General features: G+C 37.9%; 1 protein-coding gene and 1 long non-coding RNA gene across 3 annotated transcripts in view, besides 2 other annotated features; one reads left to right on the top strand and one right to left on the bottom strand.

Annotated features, from left to right (window-relative positions):
* The window catches only part of CCDC148-AS1 (CCDC148 antisense RNA 1), a 69520-nt gene that overhangs the window by 35459 nt on the left and 17230 nt on the right, over positions 1-16831 (bottom strand). The gene's annotated exons all lie outside the window — the stretch shown is intronic.
* The window catches only part of CCDC148 (coiled-coil domain containing 148), a 285681-nt gene that overhangs the window by 256043 nt on the left and 12807 nt on the right, over positions 1-16831 (top strand). The window lies entirely within an intron of this gene.
* Positions 9176-9335: an enhancer, noted in NCBI's record as "active region_16679". NCBI's record gives its function as "activates an Ori minimal core promoter by ATAC-STARR-seq in GM12878 lymphoblastoid cells {active_cell/tissue: GM12878}" and the evidence as "EXISTENCE:reporter gene assay evidence [ECO:0000049][PMID:35858748]".
* Positions 12508-12708: a silencer, noted in NCBI's record as "peak3909 fragment used in MPRA reporter construct". NCBI's record gives its function as "represses an SCP1 promoter by STARR-seq MPRAs in K562 erythroleukemia cells {active_cell/tissue: K562}" and the evidence as "EXISTENCE:reporter gene assay evidence [ECO:0000049][PMID:32103011]".

The following is a 16831-nucleotide window of genomic DNA, read 5'->3' as shown; positions in this document are numbered from 1 at the left end:
CTGATTTAGCATCACTAATACTGAGGCAAACTGACAGTGTGCCTCATGATGGTATAATATGAAGTACATCACCCTGGTGCCAAAATATTTTACCTGAAGCCAATCAATTTCTTAGTCAATGAGTTGGCAAATTTTATTTGGAAAGAGTTAGAACATAATTATGTTAGGCTGCGTGGGCCATCCTGTCTCTGTCACAGCTTCTCAGCTCTGTCAATATGTAAGCAAATGGGTATGGCTATGTGCCAATAAAACTTTATTTATAAAAATAAGCAGTAGATTGGATTTGGTCCCAGGGTCATAGTGTGTCAACCCCTGTTCAAGACCCAACTTACTGTTTACAGGAAATTCAGGGGAAAGAGGAACCAAAGTAAATAACTGGATATCAAGAGGAAATAATCAGACAAATCAAAAATAAGGAGCATCCTACAAGACTTTAAATTAAACAGCATTCCTTAAGTGCTTCAGAAAACTTAATATCATGGGAAAAAATGGGTCTGTTCAGACTGAAATAAACCAGTGAGATGTAAAAACCAATTTCAGGGCATGAACCTAGATAATGATCATCTTTTTTAAACATGCACCACCAAACTCTGTGTCACCAGCCCTGTCCTTGTGCAGCTGATTTTTTTTGGACCAGAGTGCAGAATCTTCCTTTATCCTGTCCCTGCCATCACAATGATCTGTGATCACTACCACAATGACTAGTTTGAATGCGTCTCAACCCTCTTGAGCTGCTTTTCAAAGCCTCATGATATAAAATCAATGCCATTTCACCTGAACATTTGATTAAAATCATTAAGAAAGCAAGTTTATGGAGGCAGAAAAATAGATGTTTATGCTTTAAGCACCAATCTTTAATTATCATGAGACACAAGTGGATGATTTATATCATTTGACCCTTTTTATTTTCAAAGAAAAAGAAACATTTGCTCGTTCCCAATAATGATCTAATCAGATAACTATATTTTTACTAATAACTGTCATAAAGTGACCTTCATTATTCACCTATAATTTCCTGAGACAGGACTTGGAGTTAAAATGACTCCAAGTTAAAATAAAATGGAGTTTTATTTTAGAATCTATCATCTAGAAGCACCTAAAGTCTGTTATAGAAAAATAATTTAAATAACTTATAAGCTAAAAACTGGTTTTAAATTAATATCAAAGGCCGGACGTGGTGGCTCACACTTGTAATCCCAGCACTTTGGGAGGCCAAGGTGGGTGGATCATCTGATGTCAGGAGTTTGAGACCAGCCTGGCCAACATGGTGAAACCCTGTCTCTACTGAAAATACTAAAATTAGCCAGGGGTGGTGGCGGATGCCTATAATCCCAGCTAGTTGGGAGGCCGAGGCAGGAGAATCACTTGAACCTGGGAGGCGGAGGTTGCAGTGAGCCGAGATGGTGCCACTACCCTCTAGCCTGGGCAACAGAATGAGACTTTGTCTCAAAAAAATATATAAATAAAAATTAAAATTTAAAAAAGCAATATCAAAATGTCTTCATTAAAACTATAAGAAAATTACTTTCCAAGCTTAAAGTATCATACACCTTAGAGCAGATGAATAAAACCAAGTAAAATCTCTTATAAACCAAGACATGTTTTCTTAATTCATACCTTGCTGCCATGACACTCTTCTGTTCTCCCTATCAAGCCTATACATACCTTTCAAGCAGATCCCTTTATGCTTAACTAATCTCTACTGGTCCCAAGGTCCCTGCCTCTGGTTTTTCACTCTTGTTTTGGTCTCCTCCCTTAAAAAGTCATCTTTCTGAGAACAAAGCTGTTTCAGAATCAAGGTTTGTTTGATTTCCCTCATCATAACAGAAGTCTTCTGCTTTTGTTCCTTAGGGGAGATGTTCTTGAACTTTACAATAGCTTTTCAGCTCTGTTTGACAAAGAGATAAAATTTGTGCTGCTGGTAACATACAGAATCTAACTTAAGATAAATTTAAACTCAGTTCACTGTTTCTGATTTTTCTATCCTACAAACTGTGCTTATAGGATGATAATTCCAAATAATTATTTCCGACCTGGAAAAAAAAAGACCTTGAAGCCATTTCAAGTATTCTCTGAAGATATCAGCCAAAAAGTCCAATGAAATCCCAGGCATCATTAGGAAAGAAAACAAAGGCATGAAATGACGTGTGTGTAAAATCATCATGAATTCGCATTTGGGAAACTTCATGATTCCTGGCATGATTCAGAAAATGAATATAATGACCATGAAGTTGGGCCATTCTTCAACTTCAACTTCAAAGGTGCAGAGTTGATACACTGGCCTCTAGTCTGAGAACACAGTGATACTATTATTTAAAATCCACCAACTTATTTGGTTTACACATTTAATAATTATTATTGAGTGTCTACTACCTTGGGATACAATGATGGACAAAAATGACACTGTCCCTGTTTTCAAGAACCTGAAGGCCAAGTGAGATATTCAGATATCCTGGGGAAGGGAAGCACAAAGTGCTATGGACACACACGGAAGTAGCACTTAAACCAGGTAGGGGGTGCCAGGGATGAGTCAGGTGTTTTCTTAGTAGAAGGAAAGGCCTTCCAGAAATAGGAAATGTCCTCCTGCCAAATCTCCATGAGGAACTGAAAGTAATTTAGTAATTTACTATAGTTGAAGTGTTTGGAGTAGGTTGGGCAAAGGTTGTGGTGAGAGAAAAGATTAAATAGATAAGTAGAGACCAAATTACAAAAGTCCCTGGAAGCCTTAAATATTGTAGAGCTTGAATAGGGTTAATTCTGACTTTTTGAATTAATTGATTAATTCATTAGAATTAATTGATTAATTCATTAGAATTAATTGCATTAACCAGTTAATGAATGCATTTAGTGGTTTTTACCTTTTCTATTCCAAAAATATTATAATATATACCCAGAGATTTAGCAAATTCCAGGATACTGGAAGAAACTTGTATAGAAACTGTATCTATCATTAGAGTGGCAATAAAAAAATAGGGAAGTAATTACCAGGAGGTTGCACATAAATTATGCATAGCAGGTTAATACATAAATTGGTTCAAAATGAGATTAGACAAACACAAGGACCTCATGAAGTATTAGGGGAAGTTGTTTATTAGAGGCTCTCTTATGCTCTCCAGCAAAATAACTTCAGTGACTTTATCAGAAATGGGGTTTTAGACAGGATGTTTCTTTGGTTAGATTTGGTATCATGTGTCTTAGGTATTTATATCTTTATCCCTTAACCATACACATACTTTACTTGGGGTAACCTTAGTAAATAAGATCTTCAATTAAGCTTAGAACTTTGTAGGATATTAGAAAGCCAGAGTCCATATCTGTTTGTGGGGACAACTCAGACATCCCATCTTCCATTGACTATATTTTTGAGTGACTTTTTCGTAATTAGACTCTCTACCTTCAAATTCAGCTTCTGTGGGATCATTGATTAAAATGTTGATTAAAAAAAACTTTAGGAGAAATAAAACCTTCAGATAATTTTCTCTCATTGAATTCTTCTACAGTTCTTTCGATGAAGTGCTGTAAGTTGAATCTGTCCTGACTTATTGTGAGTGGAAACAGAGAACAAAGACTTCTCTGTATAAAATTCCCAATCATTCTCCATGATCACTTTCAGTTCCCCATTAGCCTTATCATTGCCACATAAAGAGTCTTACTTTCTTTAGATTTTCCTGAATCCATTTTCTGATCTTTTAATAATGTTTGCTAACCTCCTGAATTCCCTCTTAAGGACTCAAGTATTGATTCTAAGACAGTTAATGATCTCACCTTCCAGTGTTTTAGTAGATACTAAGGTGGGCTTAAATTACAGATATTTTAATTTAAAGTTAGTCAATCAGAAGTAACTGCCCAGCTACTATCTAGTACATACAGATATGAACACATAAACACACAGATATAAACACATAGACACACAAGTGCAGAGTAGGGTATAGGAGACAATGTAGGTAAAAGAGCAGGGATTTTGAGCAGAGAAAAAGTAGACGTAAAATTTATATGAAAGAATTTCTGAAGATTTTAAAAAGGAGGGCCAGTGTGAACGTTATTCAGGTAAGTTATTTGATATAGGTTGTGCTTCCACAGGCCTTGGCTTGAGACATGTTGGACCATATCGAAAGGAAAGCAGATTGGGGGCAGTGAGAAAGTTTTAAGTAAAGATGGGAAATTTGACCCATAACCATGGTGTACTTTTGCACTTTCCATCTTAATACTAAATGGGCTGGATTCACAGCAAATAATGCACTGGACATATTTAACAACTGGCTGGGGGGAGGAGAAGAGGGTTGGTTAAATCCTGATTTTCAGCACGTGCTGATTTCTGTGGTGTAAATATCCCACCATAGCCTATTTCAAATTACCAACTTGATATTACTGAACACAGAGATGGGAAGAGATGTGCAGTGGCATACTCTCATATATTATTTCTGCCATACAGATTTAGTAGATATAAATTATCTCAAGAGCATAGATAATAGTAAAACACAGTAAAATAATTAAAAAGTGGTGAGTTTTTAGTATTTGTTACCTTTGTTTTTAATATAATTGATTTTGTGTAAATTTACATAATTTAATAATGCCTGTGTTTAACGACTAGCTTGCAAAGGTCCCAAAATGTAACAATTGGCTCAGTCCCTCCAGCTAGTATGAAGTGGCTCTGGCATATGACTGGGGTTTACAGGCACCCCAGCTGATGGAAGAAATCATGTGAGTAAGTCCCATGAGGAGCTAATTGTGATTCCCTATGGATTGCTATGGAATTGCCTGTGTTACAGACCTGATGTGCTATATCTGCTGTGCTGCCTCCCCTGATAAACTTTTCCAAAATTCAGAAGTGAGATCCTAAGCCTCCTGCGCCCACTGGACACTCTGCACTTGTCCTGGCTTGTATGATCAATTTGAAGAAAAGTGGGAGGCATCCTGAACACTTTGAAGTCTTGAGTAGAAGACTAAAGGAGCTGAATGTGGAGGTGATATTTCTATCTTGTCTTCTTGCAGGTTGCTGAAGACTCATGCAGATTGCTTTGGAAGCAGCATAACCATAGAAAACTGCCAGAATGTGCTGTCCATGCTCTTTTAAAAATGATTTCCTGAGTGGTCTGTGACCAAAAAGGGAGGCTCTGAGCTAGGGACAATGGGTCCCTCTCAAAAATGGAGAAAATATTTTTGACAGGAGCCTTAATAATTCCACAGAGAAGGAGCAGGAAGTATTATCGTAAATTTTTAGCAAAAACGCAAAACTTCACAGGGAACAAGAACAAACAAAATTACTTGGGGGTAAATGAATGTTAAACGATGATGAATTCCCAAGTATATGACTGAAGCATTCATAAGTTTAGTGTAGAAATTTGGACCATAAACTTAAAGGCCAGATGTTGGATATGCCTTCATGTGAAATTGTCAAATGTAAGAGGCACATCATAAGACAATAATATAAGCCAATGAATATATGGGGGGAAATGGAAAAGAGCAGGGGCAATTAACTGTGTCTGAGAGTGTGTAGAAAGTGGGAAAAGCATAAGATACATACCTCAAATACACAGAATAAGCCAATAAAGCCAGTGAACTGGAAATATCTTTCAGGAACAAAGAACAGATAATTTCTCCAATGTAGGTCCATATGTAGGCATTGATGGCTAGAAGCTGGGGTAGGGAGGGTCTCAGATGGACCCAGGACCAGCATGGAGTGAATTGATCCCAGCGAGACAAGCAGAGACTGTAGCACATGCAGAACTATCAAAGTGAGCTCAGGAGTAACCAGCAGGTTATGGGACATGCACAATTATCAGGGGCTTGTGGCAGGAACCAAAAAAGTGTGGATGAGCAGATGGGGGATGGGATGCTGGAAAGAGAATAACATAATAGTCAGAGGAGTTCAAGCACATGGGACCATTCAAAATAAAAAATCAAGTGAACTGTGGACCAGGCATTTCAATATATTACCTGCACAGGGCAGAAATAACAAAGCATAAAGCAATATCCAAGGGGCTGGTCACTATAACAATTTTCTATCTCGTTGTTGCTGGGTTTTCTATAGTTCCCATGCAATGGACACCATTCCCAGGAAGGTAGTGGTTTCCAAACTTTAGAGAGCAAAAATATCACCTGATGGGTAATATGAAAATGCAAATTCCAGAACCCTACCTCCAGAGAGCCTAGGGCAGGCCCAGGAATCCTCATTTTAAAAATAGGCATCCTTGATTCCAGTGCAGTTGGTCTACTCACCGCTTTCTGAGAAATACAACAGTATAATTAATCCAGGGCCCCTGCTGGTGAGACAGGTCTAGAAACACCCTGTTAAAGAGGCACAGAGTTTCAGTAGTTCCATCTGGTGAGCAAATGCTGACGCCTGTGAAAGGCAAATTCATGGCCCAACTGTGACAATTAACTTGTTACAATTGCTTGGAAATATCTACTCCTTTTACTTGGTTTTGTCTTGTCTTTGATTTTTAATGTTGTTGTTTTACCTGTGTTTAATACTAAATATCAGTTCAAATCTTGCTTGGAAACAGGAGGGTAGAAATTTTTATTAAATTTTAAAAAAATTGCCAACACCCTTCCTCATTTAATCAGAAATGGAGAAAGTGAATGATGCTGTTTAAATGTTAGTTGAGTAATAACTTATTTTTATACTAAATGTCTTGATAATGTATCAGAGAATACCCTTTAAACTGTAAATTTTTTTAAATTTTTTTTTTTTATTATACTTTAAGTTCTAGGGTACATGTGCACAACGTGCAGGTTTGTTACATATGTATACATCTGCCATGTTGGTGTGCTGCACCCATTAACTCATCATTTACATTGGGACACAGAAGGGGGAACATCACACACTGGGGCCTGTTGTGGGGTGGGGGGAGGGATAGCATTAGGAGATATACCTTATGTAAAATTGTAAATTTTTATGCAAATGGATTATTTTAAAAATATAAGGTACTTCATATACACCTAATAAGTGTGTGTCTTTATCTGTTGTATTCCTATAAAGCCTTATATACTCCAATGTTCTTGCATTTATAATGTTTTATCAATTGAACAGGGAAAGTTCAAAAGTTTCCATCAACTATACCTAGAGAAGAATGCATCACTTTGTCAAAATATTGTGGCTTTTTTTATTCTTTGTAGCTCTTCCAAATCCCACAAAGAAAGGATTATCGTTACTATCTGAGTGTGTGTGGGCTTGAATGCGCTAAACGTTTCTAGAGGAGCAAGGCTTTTTGATGCTTAAAAAAAAATACTGTGAGCTTTTGGTGCACACTAATCAGGGTATTACTCCACAAGCCATACCCTCCTAGGACTTCCATAGCTGATGTTATGTTGGAGCAGTCTCAGAATAGAGTCTTCCTGTGGTCCATGAGTGACAGTTGTCTTATTTGCAGAAAGGTTTGTCTCTGTTCACAATTATGCCAATTTCTGCATCAACACTTTTATGCATAGAATTGGGGCGGTGCAAACAAGACATTCTGCTGGAATTGAAGAATGCACATAAGACAGAAATGTTGATTGTGCCTGGCTAAACTGATACAATTATTTTCAAAGCCTAGAATCCAGGCACAGGATAGATTTGTTGATGTGTTAGTCTTCAGGGAAACCAGAGACATGATATCAGAAAGATGTATATTCAAAAGGAGGCCTTAAGGAATATTCTTGTCTCTTGAAATAATGGGGAATCTGGCAGAGAGGAGTTGTGACATCTGGGAAAGGATAATAAAGATTAAAATTTGAGTCACTTGGAGAGAAAATGTGAGTTGCCTTTCATATATTGACAGGGTTGACAATATCTCTAAGAAATTATAATCTTTTGGACATAAGCTTATTGCTTTTAGAGAAAATAAAATAGCCTTTTTTTTTTTTCTATTTAGACCATGGGATTGCCAAGCAGCTTAGGTCAGAGAAAATAAACCTATCCTTAATGGGCAATATTGATACCACTTTGTCAGCTTAACTTGGACTAAGTGGAATTTTCCCTTGGGTTTACTGTTTGGGGTCATGGTTAGGCCCCATGAGAGAGCCAGGTCTGTTTATTTCCTGACCTCTGTTACTGTGAAGTTCTCATGAAGGGAGAGAGCTCTTTTCCTAAGGAGCCTCTCCTGCTGCTGCTTTTCTTTCTGTGTAGAATGTGAACAAAGAGACACAACCACCTCTTGGTGTCCTTTGTTAGCTGTGTCTAGATGGCCAACGCTTGGCCATTGTAAACTTTATTAAAATAAAATTTCATAAAAGTTAGCTATCTGTTTTTCCTACACCATGATTTGCTTAGTAAACCCTGCCCTACTTCTCATTCAGCCTGTCTACCCTTCCCCAGCTGCTTTCCAAGTTTTAGATTTAATTATAATCCAGACATCCGACTAAAGTTTACAAATCGTGAGTTGTTGGAAGCCTGTTTTATTCTCTGGCCCACGACCCTCCTCTAGCAATTTCTCTGTTTCCTTTGAGAGAGATATCCAAAGAGAGACCCATATGGACATCTCTAGCTTAATGTAGGAAGGGAAAAGACAGGGTTTCTTGAGGTTTATTTCTGTCCATACTTGAATAAAGCTGGCGAGAAGATATATACATGTTTCCTTTAAAAGAGGGGGCTATCAGTGATCTACATATTATTTGTAAGTTCATCTGAATCTCTGTCCAGTTTATTGCTTTATCTTTTCCAGTAAAGTTGGTTCCCTGTTAATTTAATTAATTTTACTATCTTTGACTTTATTGTCTGAGTGTTGATGAAAGCAACACATCTCTCTCTCTTTGCCTTTCTTGAACATAACCTTTGGCATCTCACCTGAAAAAACTACAGGGTAGGTAACAGAGTTCCCCAAGTAGGCACTGGAGATGGGCTCTCCTCCTGAAATCCAAACACCAGGGTTCACTTGGCAGAACTCTAGGGTGAACTGCTTTGTAGAGTTGTCTGTCTCCAAAGAAAAAAAAGGAACAGTGATTCCGGAGCTCAATTCCAAAAGCTGAATTCTGAGACAAAACGGAAACTGCTAAGGTAGGTGTGACTTGGCAGAGTCACCAAAGAAGCTAGTTGAAACTCTATAGCCAGAGGAAATCAGCATTTGAGAAAGCCAAAGGAAAAAAGCACTAGAAAAAGTCACACCCAATACATAAATATATTTTATCATTTGTTTTTTTAAAGCATGTTTAAAATGCCTAGCCAAAACTTTAGCTAATGAAAATATTTTACTTGGGGGGATTAGAAGGGTTACTTAAAAAGTAGAAGAAAAAACCCCGAAGGCGTTTGTGAAAATAACTGTTCTGCTCCACTGACTTTCTTTTTTAACCTCAAATGTTAAAGAGGCTGTTTGTGAAGCCTCTTCGCTGATCATTTCCTAGGCTGAAAGAAAATCAAGGTTTACTTCTTTGCTGTGGGCGGCTGAATCACTACAAAAACCTTTGGTCCTTTTGATGTTTGCTTTCTACAGAAGTTCTGAGAGATCTGGGAAGGAAGAAAGAGAATGTAATGGGGATTTTTCAAACAGCATTAGAGAAGCCATGTTTTATTAATCTTATTTACTTAAATCATTTGTTTGAGGGAGAAGACTGTGGTTTCTTTTGTGGTCTCAGTGCCCTCTCGGTTCAGCAGTGCTGCTAAAGAAGGGAACCCAGTTCCATCATCATAATCATACAGATGTCTATCTCCAGAAAAACGAGGACCAATTAAAATCAGTTCTCACAATAAGTAGCCGAAGTTAAAAATAGATAGAACTAGACCGAAATATTATGACTTGATAACACGGTGGTATATTTTATTAGCATGTCTTTTTAAAGCTCAATACTAAAGCAATGCCTCTTTTAGTATTTGTGATTCTGAAAACACATTTATGAAAACCTTGGGCATCAGGAATTATGTGTCTTATGAGAATTTTTCAGCTGAAAAAAACCTCTCCAATAAAACTAATCACCCATGCTTATCATTTTCTTACTTTTAAAAGCATTATTTTGCTTTACAAACAAAATTAGCATAAGAATTTAAAGAAAGGTTCCAATGTTATGAGGTAAACCCTCAACAAAAGTTCCCTTCTTACACAACTGTTAAAATGATTATATGGCCTCATGAAGATTTTTTAAATGCAATACATATTAATTGTGGAGTTAAACTATATCTACCATAAACCATTTGTGAGTTCAAGAGTCACTGTGCAAATTACCCAATTAGTATCAAATGGCAGATGTCTTTTGTTAGTGAGTTCATATGATGGCAAGTGACAGGTGCCTCTAAGTATTCAAAATCCAGATGTAAGCTCTGCCTTTGTCTACTTGATAGGTGTTTCTAATTGCTCTGGGTTTTTGGTTTGTTTTGCAGAAATATGATTGTTATACATTTACATATATGGCACTTTGTATAAATGTGCTGAATAAATGAATGTATTAGAGGCAATTGGGCAAATAAATGCTGATCTGCCTGGGTGGCCTTTTAAATTTCAGTTCATGATAAATAATTTCTGAAAGCCAACATTATTTCTGCCTGTGCTGTCCCTCCAAAATCATGATCCTAGCAAGTCTGTATCATGGTCGTGGATGTCATGCCTCAGTTTGGCTTTTAGCATTCATGGCTCCTTATTCTCAAAAGGAACTGACACTAGATTTGTTCTCCAGTAATTCAATTTCTCTTCCAGCTTCTCAAATGATTAAATATCTTACAAAGACATACTCACTGACTAATTAGACAGGCTTAAAGGAATAATGTATATTTAATTTATTCTTACATTTTTATTTTGCCAACTCCTGTGTCCTGTTATTTACCTACAGCTTAGGATATTCAATAGAATGCTTTCCATCACTTTTTAATTTCACTCATCATTTATTCTATGTTTCTTTCATTTATTGGTGCATATCTTCTGTGTTTTAGGCACTCTGCTAGTTCTTGGGGATACACAGGAGATTAAGTCATAGCCACTAGACTCAGGAAGTATACAGTCTAGTAGACAAGACATGAAAACAGAAACTATAATACAAAGCAGGAAGTGTCTATGTGTCTATGCCATTCAGTTTGTTTACTTGACCATTCTTGCTTGCTTATGGAAAGGTAAATATTATTTCCCAAACTGGGTCTATTGAGAAAGGTTTCTGTTATCAGATAACTGAGCAATAAGCACACTAAGTCCTCCTTTTAGAGATTCATAATGCACTCCACCATATTATCATAAATATTCTGAAAGCTCCTGCCATAAATAAATTTATTTTACTTTGTTTATCTTAGTATTTCCCAAACTTACTTGAACACATTTTTATAGTATACGTGTTAACTTCCTGTGGGAAATTAACATTCCATGGACCATCAGTTTGGGAAAAGAACTGATTACCCTTTGGAACAGCTAGATACATGTCCTCTTGTTATAGAGGACAAAAAGACACAGATTTCCTTACACATAGAAGATGTGTCTGCTAGTCAGGAATCTTCAGAAGCAACTGACAAAACCTAACTCAAACTAGCTTAGGCAGAAAAGGGAATGAATTGATTTACAAGAATGGGAATCCAGGGCATGAGTCTTGCCTCAGTGACTCAAATGGTATCTTCAGATTCCTCTCACTCTCTTTCTGACTCTTTACTCAGTACCTGTGTACTGAGTACACATTCCTACCAACAATGTATAAGTGTTCCCTTTCTCTTCAACCTTGTCAACATCTGTTATTTTTGTTTTTTACTTTTTAATTATAGCCATTCTGACCTGTGTGAGATGGTATCTCATTGTGGTTTTGTTTTGCATCTCTCTGGTGATTAATGATTGCATCTCTCTGGTGATTAATTGTTGGCCACTTACATGTCTTCTTTTGAGAAGTGTCTGTTGATGTCCTTTGCCTACTTCTTAATGGGTTTATTTGTTTCTTTTTCTTGTTGACTTAAGTTCCTTATAGATTCTGGATATTAGTCCCTTGTCAGATGCTTGGTTTGCAAATATTTTCTCCCATTCTGTATGTTGTCTGTTCAATCTGTTGAGAGTTTCTTTTGCTGCACAGAAGCTCTTTAGTTTAATTAGGTCCTACTTGTCAATTTTTATTTTTGTTGCATTTTTAGAAGACTTAGTCATAAATGCTTTGCCTAGGCCAATGTATAGAAAAGTATTTCCTAGATTTTCTTCTATGAGTTTTATAGTTTGATTTCTTATTCTTAAGCTTTTAATCCATCTTGAGTTAATTTTTATATATGGTGAGAGGTAGGGGTCCAGTTTTGTTCTTCTGCATATGGTTAGCCAGTTTCCCCAGTACTGATTTAATGATTAAAATCTAGGTGTGTCCATAATAGGCAGTTGGCTCTGGTATCTAATTACTGCTGGAAAGAAGACACATATTTAAAAAAAATATTCTAATATCAAAGTCATTATTTTTAGATTATATAAAGTGGTTTATAGCTAATAATCCCAAATGTGAAGTCACCTCAATCAGTTACTTAAGCATATACATGATTTTCTTGGCCCCAGGAAGTTCTATTGCTCAAAGTTTCATATTTTATGAGTGCTTTCCTTAGGTTTTTAAGTAGCTGAAATGACCAACTCCTCTATAAATATTGCAGGCTAAAATTGTTGCAGCCATCTTATAAGACATTAAACATTGGGAGCTTGATTGTCTGCTTTTGGATTGGAGTGGACCCCAAATAATTGAGCAGACATGATCTTAGCTCTGTCCATGGTACCCAGGGTACCATAGTGGCTCATCTCTAACAGCATGTAAGGAGGCCGTCTGGCTTTCTATTTAGATATGTCATCAGGTTGGTTCCTAACTTTGCACAAGAAGATGTCAAACTTATACCCAACTCAGATGCCCTTAAAGCAGCAGTTCTTTATTTAACCAGCAATGTAATATAGTTACACTTGAGAGATTTGTTTGAGGGTAATCCTGAACTTACATAAAGAACAAATAAAAGCTCAAAGGATCTGGGACTTTGAGGGAGGTGGAGGCTGCAGATATTTGTGCACTGATTGTAGTTGAAGTCAGATTTCTCAGAAGTAGTTTTTAAATTGAGAAAAGAAGAGGATTCATGTTGGAACTTTGGGTAGACAGACGAGGAGAAGCTGGTAAAAGGAATGAAGAGAAAGCAGTGCAAGAGATAGGAAGCACATTCCAAGAAGAAGGTATCATCAGTACCAGGCATTGCAGACAGGTCACATTGAAGGAGCTCTGAAAGACGGCTCTGAGTTTGCAATTTTGAGTCACTGGTGTTATTGGGGAAAGTAGTTTCCATAGAGTGGAGTGGACAGAGGCCAGACTGCAGGATGGTTTGGACTAAATGAGAAGTGAAGAGCTGGAGACAGAAAGTATGGCTTCCTCAGTTAAGAAATTTTCCAGTAAAAAGAATGAAAGAAAAAAAGATGGTGTCTGAAAAGGGAGCCAGAGTTGAGAGATACATCCCTCCACCCCATTTGAATAAGTTTGTACGTAGAGGAAAGAGAACCATGGAAGGTGGTTGGTTAGAGAGAGAGAGAGACTGAAGAATTAAGAAAGAAAGAAGTTCACTTCTGGAGCAAGATCCTAGCAGCAACTAGATTTATAGGATTAGGAGCCCAGATTTAAGGAGCAAAGGATGGATGAAGATGAGTTTTGACAAGGTTGGAAGCGGCAAAGCATATTGAGGAAATGAATGCTCTTTTCAGTGGAGCAGGTGAGGTTCTCCACTAAGAGGGAGAGTTAGCCATGATGTAGAAATTCAAGGAGAACATCAAGCAGCTGGGGAGAGAATAAATAATTCTGGAGCAGTGTTGAATGTCCAGTTAAGGATCAACTTCATTAGTACATAATAATTTCAACAAAGAATTAGAGTTGGATATTGGCAGGGTAGATGAGAAAGAAAAGGCAAGATAATTAAAGGATGCTGTTGACAATGCCTTTGAAGAGATAGACCCAGGGCTCCAAAGCTGGGGAGAGAATGAGATAAAGCCTGACTGGTTCTTGTAGCCTGGGAGAAAAGGCAAAACTAGAAAAAAAATTTCAGGAGGGAAGGCCTAACCTGGGACCTAGCAAGATTTCCATTGTTCAATGGTATTTAAGTTAATAAATGAGAAGTGAAGAGCTGGAGACAGAATGTATGGCTTCCTCAGTTAAGAAATTTTGCAGTAAAAGGAATGAAAGAAAAAAAGACGGTATCTGAAAAGGGAGGCAGAGTTGAGAGATACATCCCTCTACCCGATTTGAATAAATTTATATGTAGAGGAAAAAGAACCGTGGAAGGTGGTTGGTTATTAATTTAAGCTAATAAATATTGTTGAACAATGGAAATCTTGCTAAGCTCAAGTCACAGATTGAGTAAGGTTAAATGGGTGACAGTGTCAGAAGGGTGACAGGCAATCCATGTGAATGACGCTTCCTAGACTTGTGCAGCATACAGCCTTTCTAAGTCTATGCCATGACCCCAGACCTGGAGGCATATAACGGGAATCCTCAGTTCAAGGTGTTGGCAGGGGAACAGTTCTAGGTGATGACAATTCTAAGTTCAGTCTAAGGAAAAGTTTGCTGAAGTAGGGATGGAGTTAATGGTGCTGGAAATCAAGAGACTGTGTGGGCAGAGTTGAGTAAATATTGGACACTGACCCAGCCAGTCAGTAGTTAATTCCAAGAACCATAGAACAGACAGGATGGTATCATCCCAAAGTCAATGTGTACAACTTTCTGGAATTGTCACTGAGGAGCCAGAAAAACTCAGCCTCCTCTCTGCAGGTACCCTCTATTTTAAGAGGTTGCAATAAAAGTAGTGGCACCTGGGAAGCACTGGTTTTCAATTAAGGCAAATCATTGAAAGCAGCGACTGAGAATGGGGTCAGGTGTGGCTGAGTGTTCCAGTGGAGGAAGTATTTTATCACTAACATTATTTAAACTATTGGGGCATGGTGATTTTTTAAAAAGGTTTTTGTCCGTTTATTATTTTTAAATTCTCTATAAACAATGAGCCCCATTTGGAATGTTATTGGAAAGGAGTAGTTGAGGAAAATGTTGAAGATATGTAAAGATATAAAAGGATTACAGAAGGTCAGGTAGAAAGAGGAATGGTTCAGAAAAAGAAGAATAAATAAGTTGTGGCAGAAATAGTTTTTTGGATTAGTTTGGGGAATGAGCTAATATGATATTTGCAACACTCTTCCAGTGTCTCTCTCTTCACAGCTTGTCCTCCTTTCAACATGGGACTCCCAGATTGAAGTCCTTGTTTGTATCTCTCACTTCCAGCTCACCTGAACTCAAACAGCAGGCTTAGAACTGATTAAAATCAACAGGAAAATGTGCTCTTATTTATGGATTTTTGCTTCCATTGTGATAAGATATCCAACCCTTGGAGCTGCCGAAATAATTCTCAAAGAAGGTGGTTCATATCTCTATTTAAAGGCTGAGACGCCTTCGAGTTATTTCCTCTTCCTTTGATTTTACTGAATAGACCCTTTAAATATCGGCCAGTAGCCTGAGGTTTTCAGCTGTCATCAGGATACACCAGTGTTTTGTCCATCAGAGGGAAAGAAAGAGGTTCAGTAATAGCCATTATTGCAACTGCCCATCACCAGCACTTATCCAAGCCTGAGAAGGCTCTGGTCTCTGAGAGAACCTGTCATCCATGTGTGTCAGGGCCATAGGGGCTGGGAAAGAATGGGGTTGAAAGGTCCTGCTCTGGAATGTCAATAATACCAAGCAAGAATTTCTAGTTTGGAACAGTCCTGAGGCATATAACTGCAATGTTTAGCACAGGCAAACAGAAATAAGCCCTGTCTAGGTAGTAACTTGTAACTGGTTTTGTCTTGATAACAATAGTCAGGTAAAGTCCTTTTAATCTGTATATTTATCTATGCTGTAGTTCTCAAAGTGTGGTCCCCAGACCAGCACAATCAGCATCACCTGGAAACTTGTCAGAAATGCAGATTTGGGGGCTCCGCTTGACAACTACTGAATCAGAAACTTTGGAGCTGGCCCAGAAGTCTGAGGTTTAACCAGTCACACAGGTGATTTTGATGTACGCTCATTTGAGAATGACTAAGCTATGTAGCATTGGTTCTCATCCCAGGCTGCTCATTAGAATCATCTAGTGGAACTTTCAACAAAATACAGTACTTGGGCCTGACTACTAGATTCTGATGTAATTATTCTGGAGCGAGGCCTTGGCATTGCAAGTCATTTTACAAGTTTCAGTGATTGAGAACCATGATTCTGTAGCAATCTGAAAAGGGGCTCTGTAATTTGGAAGTTTATGAATAAATTCAAAAACTATTAAGAACAATTTTGTGATTTTACTACAGTGTTCATTTAGGCATGCTTATACATAACAGACCACAAATTATGTAAACTCAACAGAGTAGGGACTTCTTTCCTCTGTTTTATTTCCCCCCACTATTATAACCTGAGCACCTAGAACAGTGCTTGACACATAGTAGGTGCTTAAGTAACTCTATGTTGACTAATTTAACTAATTAATCAATTAAAAGATGGGGTTCCAATAGCTTCACAAAGGAACCAGGAAGCTCTCTGAGCTGAACAATGGTCTCTGTTTGGGGCTGGCAAGGGTTCATCTTTTCTGATTCTGCAGAGACCCTGTGAGTTTTCTTTGTTCTTGCCTCATGCCAATCTGTACCAGGATGTCAGTGTCTTGTGTCAGGATTCACATTCCTGTTTGCAGAAATTGGTCTTTGCTTATGCCCTTAGCCAGAATCCCCACTGAGTGGAGACTCCCAGCCCGTGTGGTTAGAGGAGTGATGCCTTTCAATGTGAATGTCTTCCTGTGCAATTTCCATTCTTTTCTTTGGGCAGACTTCTCCCCTCCACTTGAAACGTGTTGGCACCTGGCCTGCCTGCTTTGATCTGCACATTCTTCCCTGTTGGGGTGACCTGTAGTTAATGAAGGGGTCCCCTCTGCTTAGTAGGAAGAACAACCTCC

This window comes from Homo sapiens, chromosome 2, assembly GCF_000001405.40.
Source record: "Homo sapiens chromosome 2, GRCh38.p14 Primary Assembly".
In the NCBI taxonomy this organism is placed as follows: domain Eukaryota; kingdom Metazoa; phylum Chordata; class Mammalia; order Primates; family Hominidae; genus Homo; species Homo sapiens.
The sequence above is the reverse complement of the archived record's forward strand: the minus strand, read 5'-3'. Positions and strand labels throughout refer to the sequence as shown.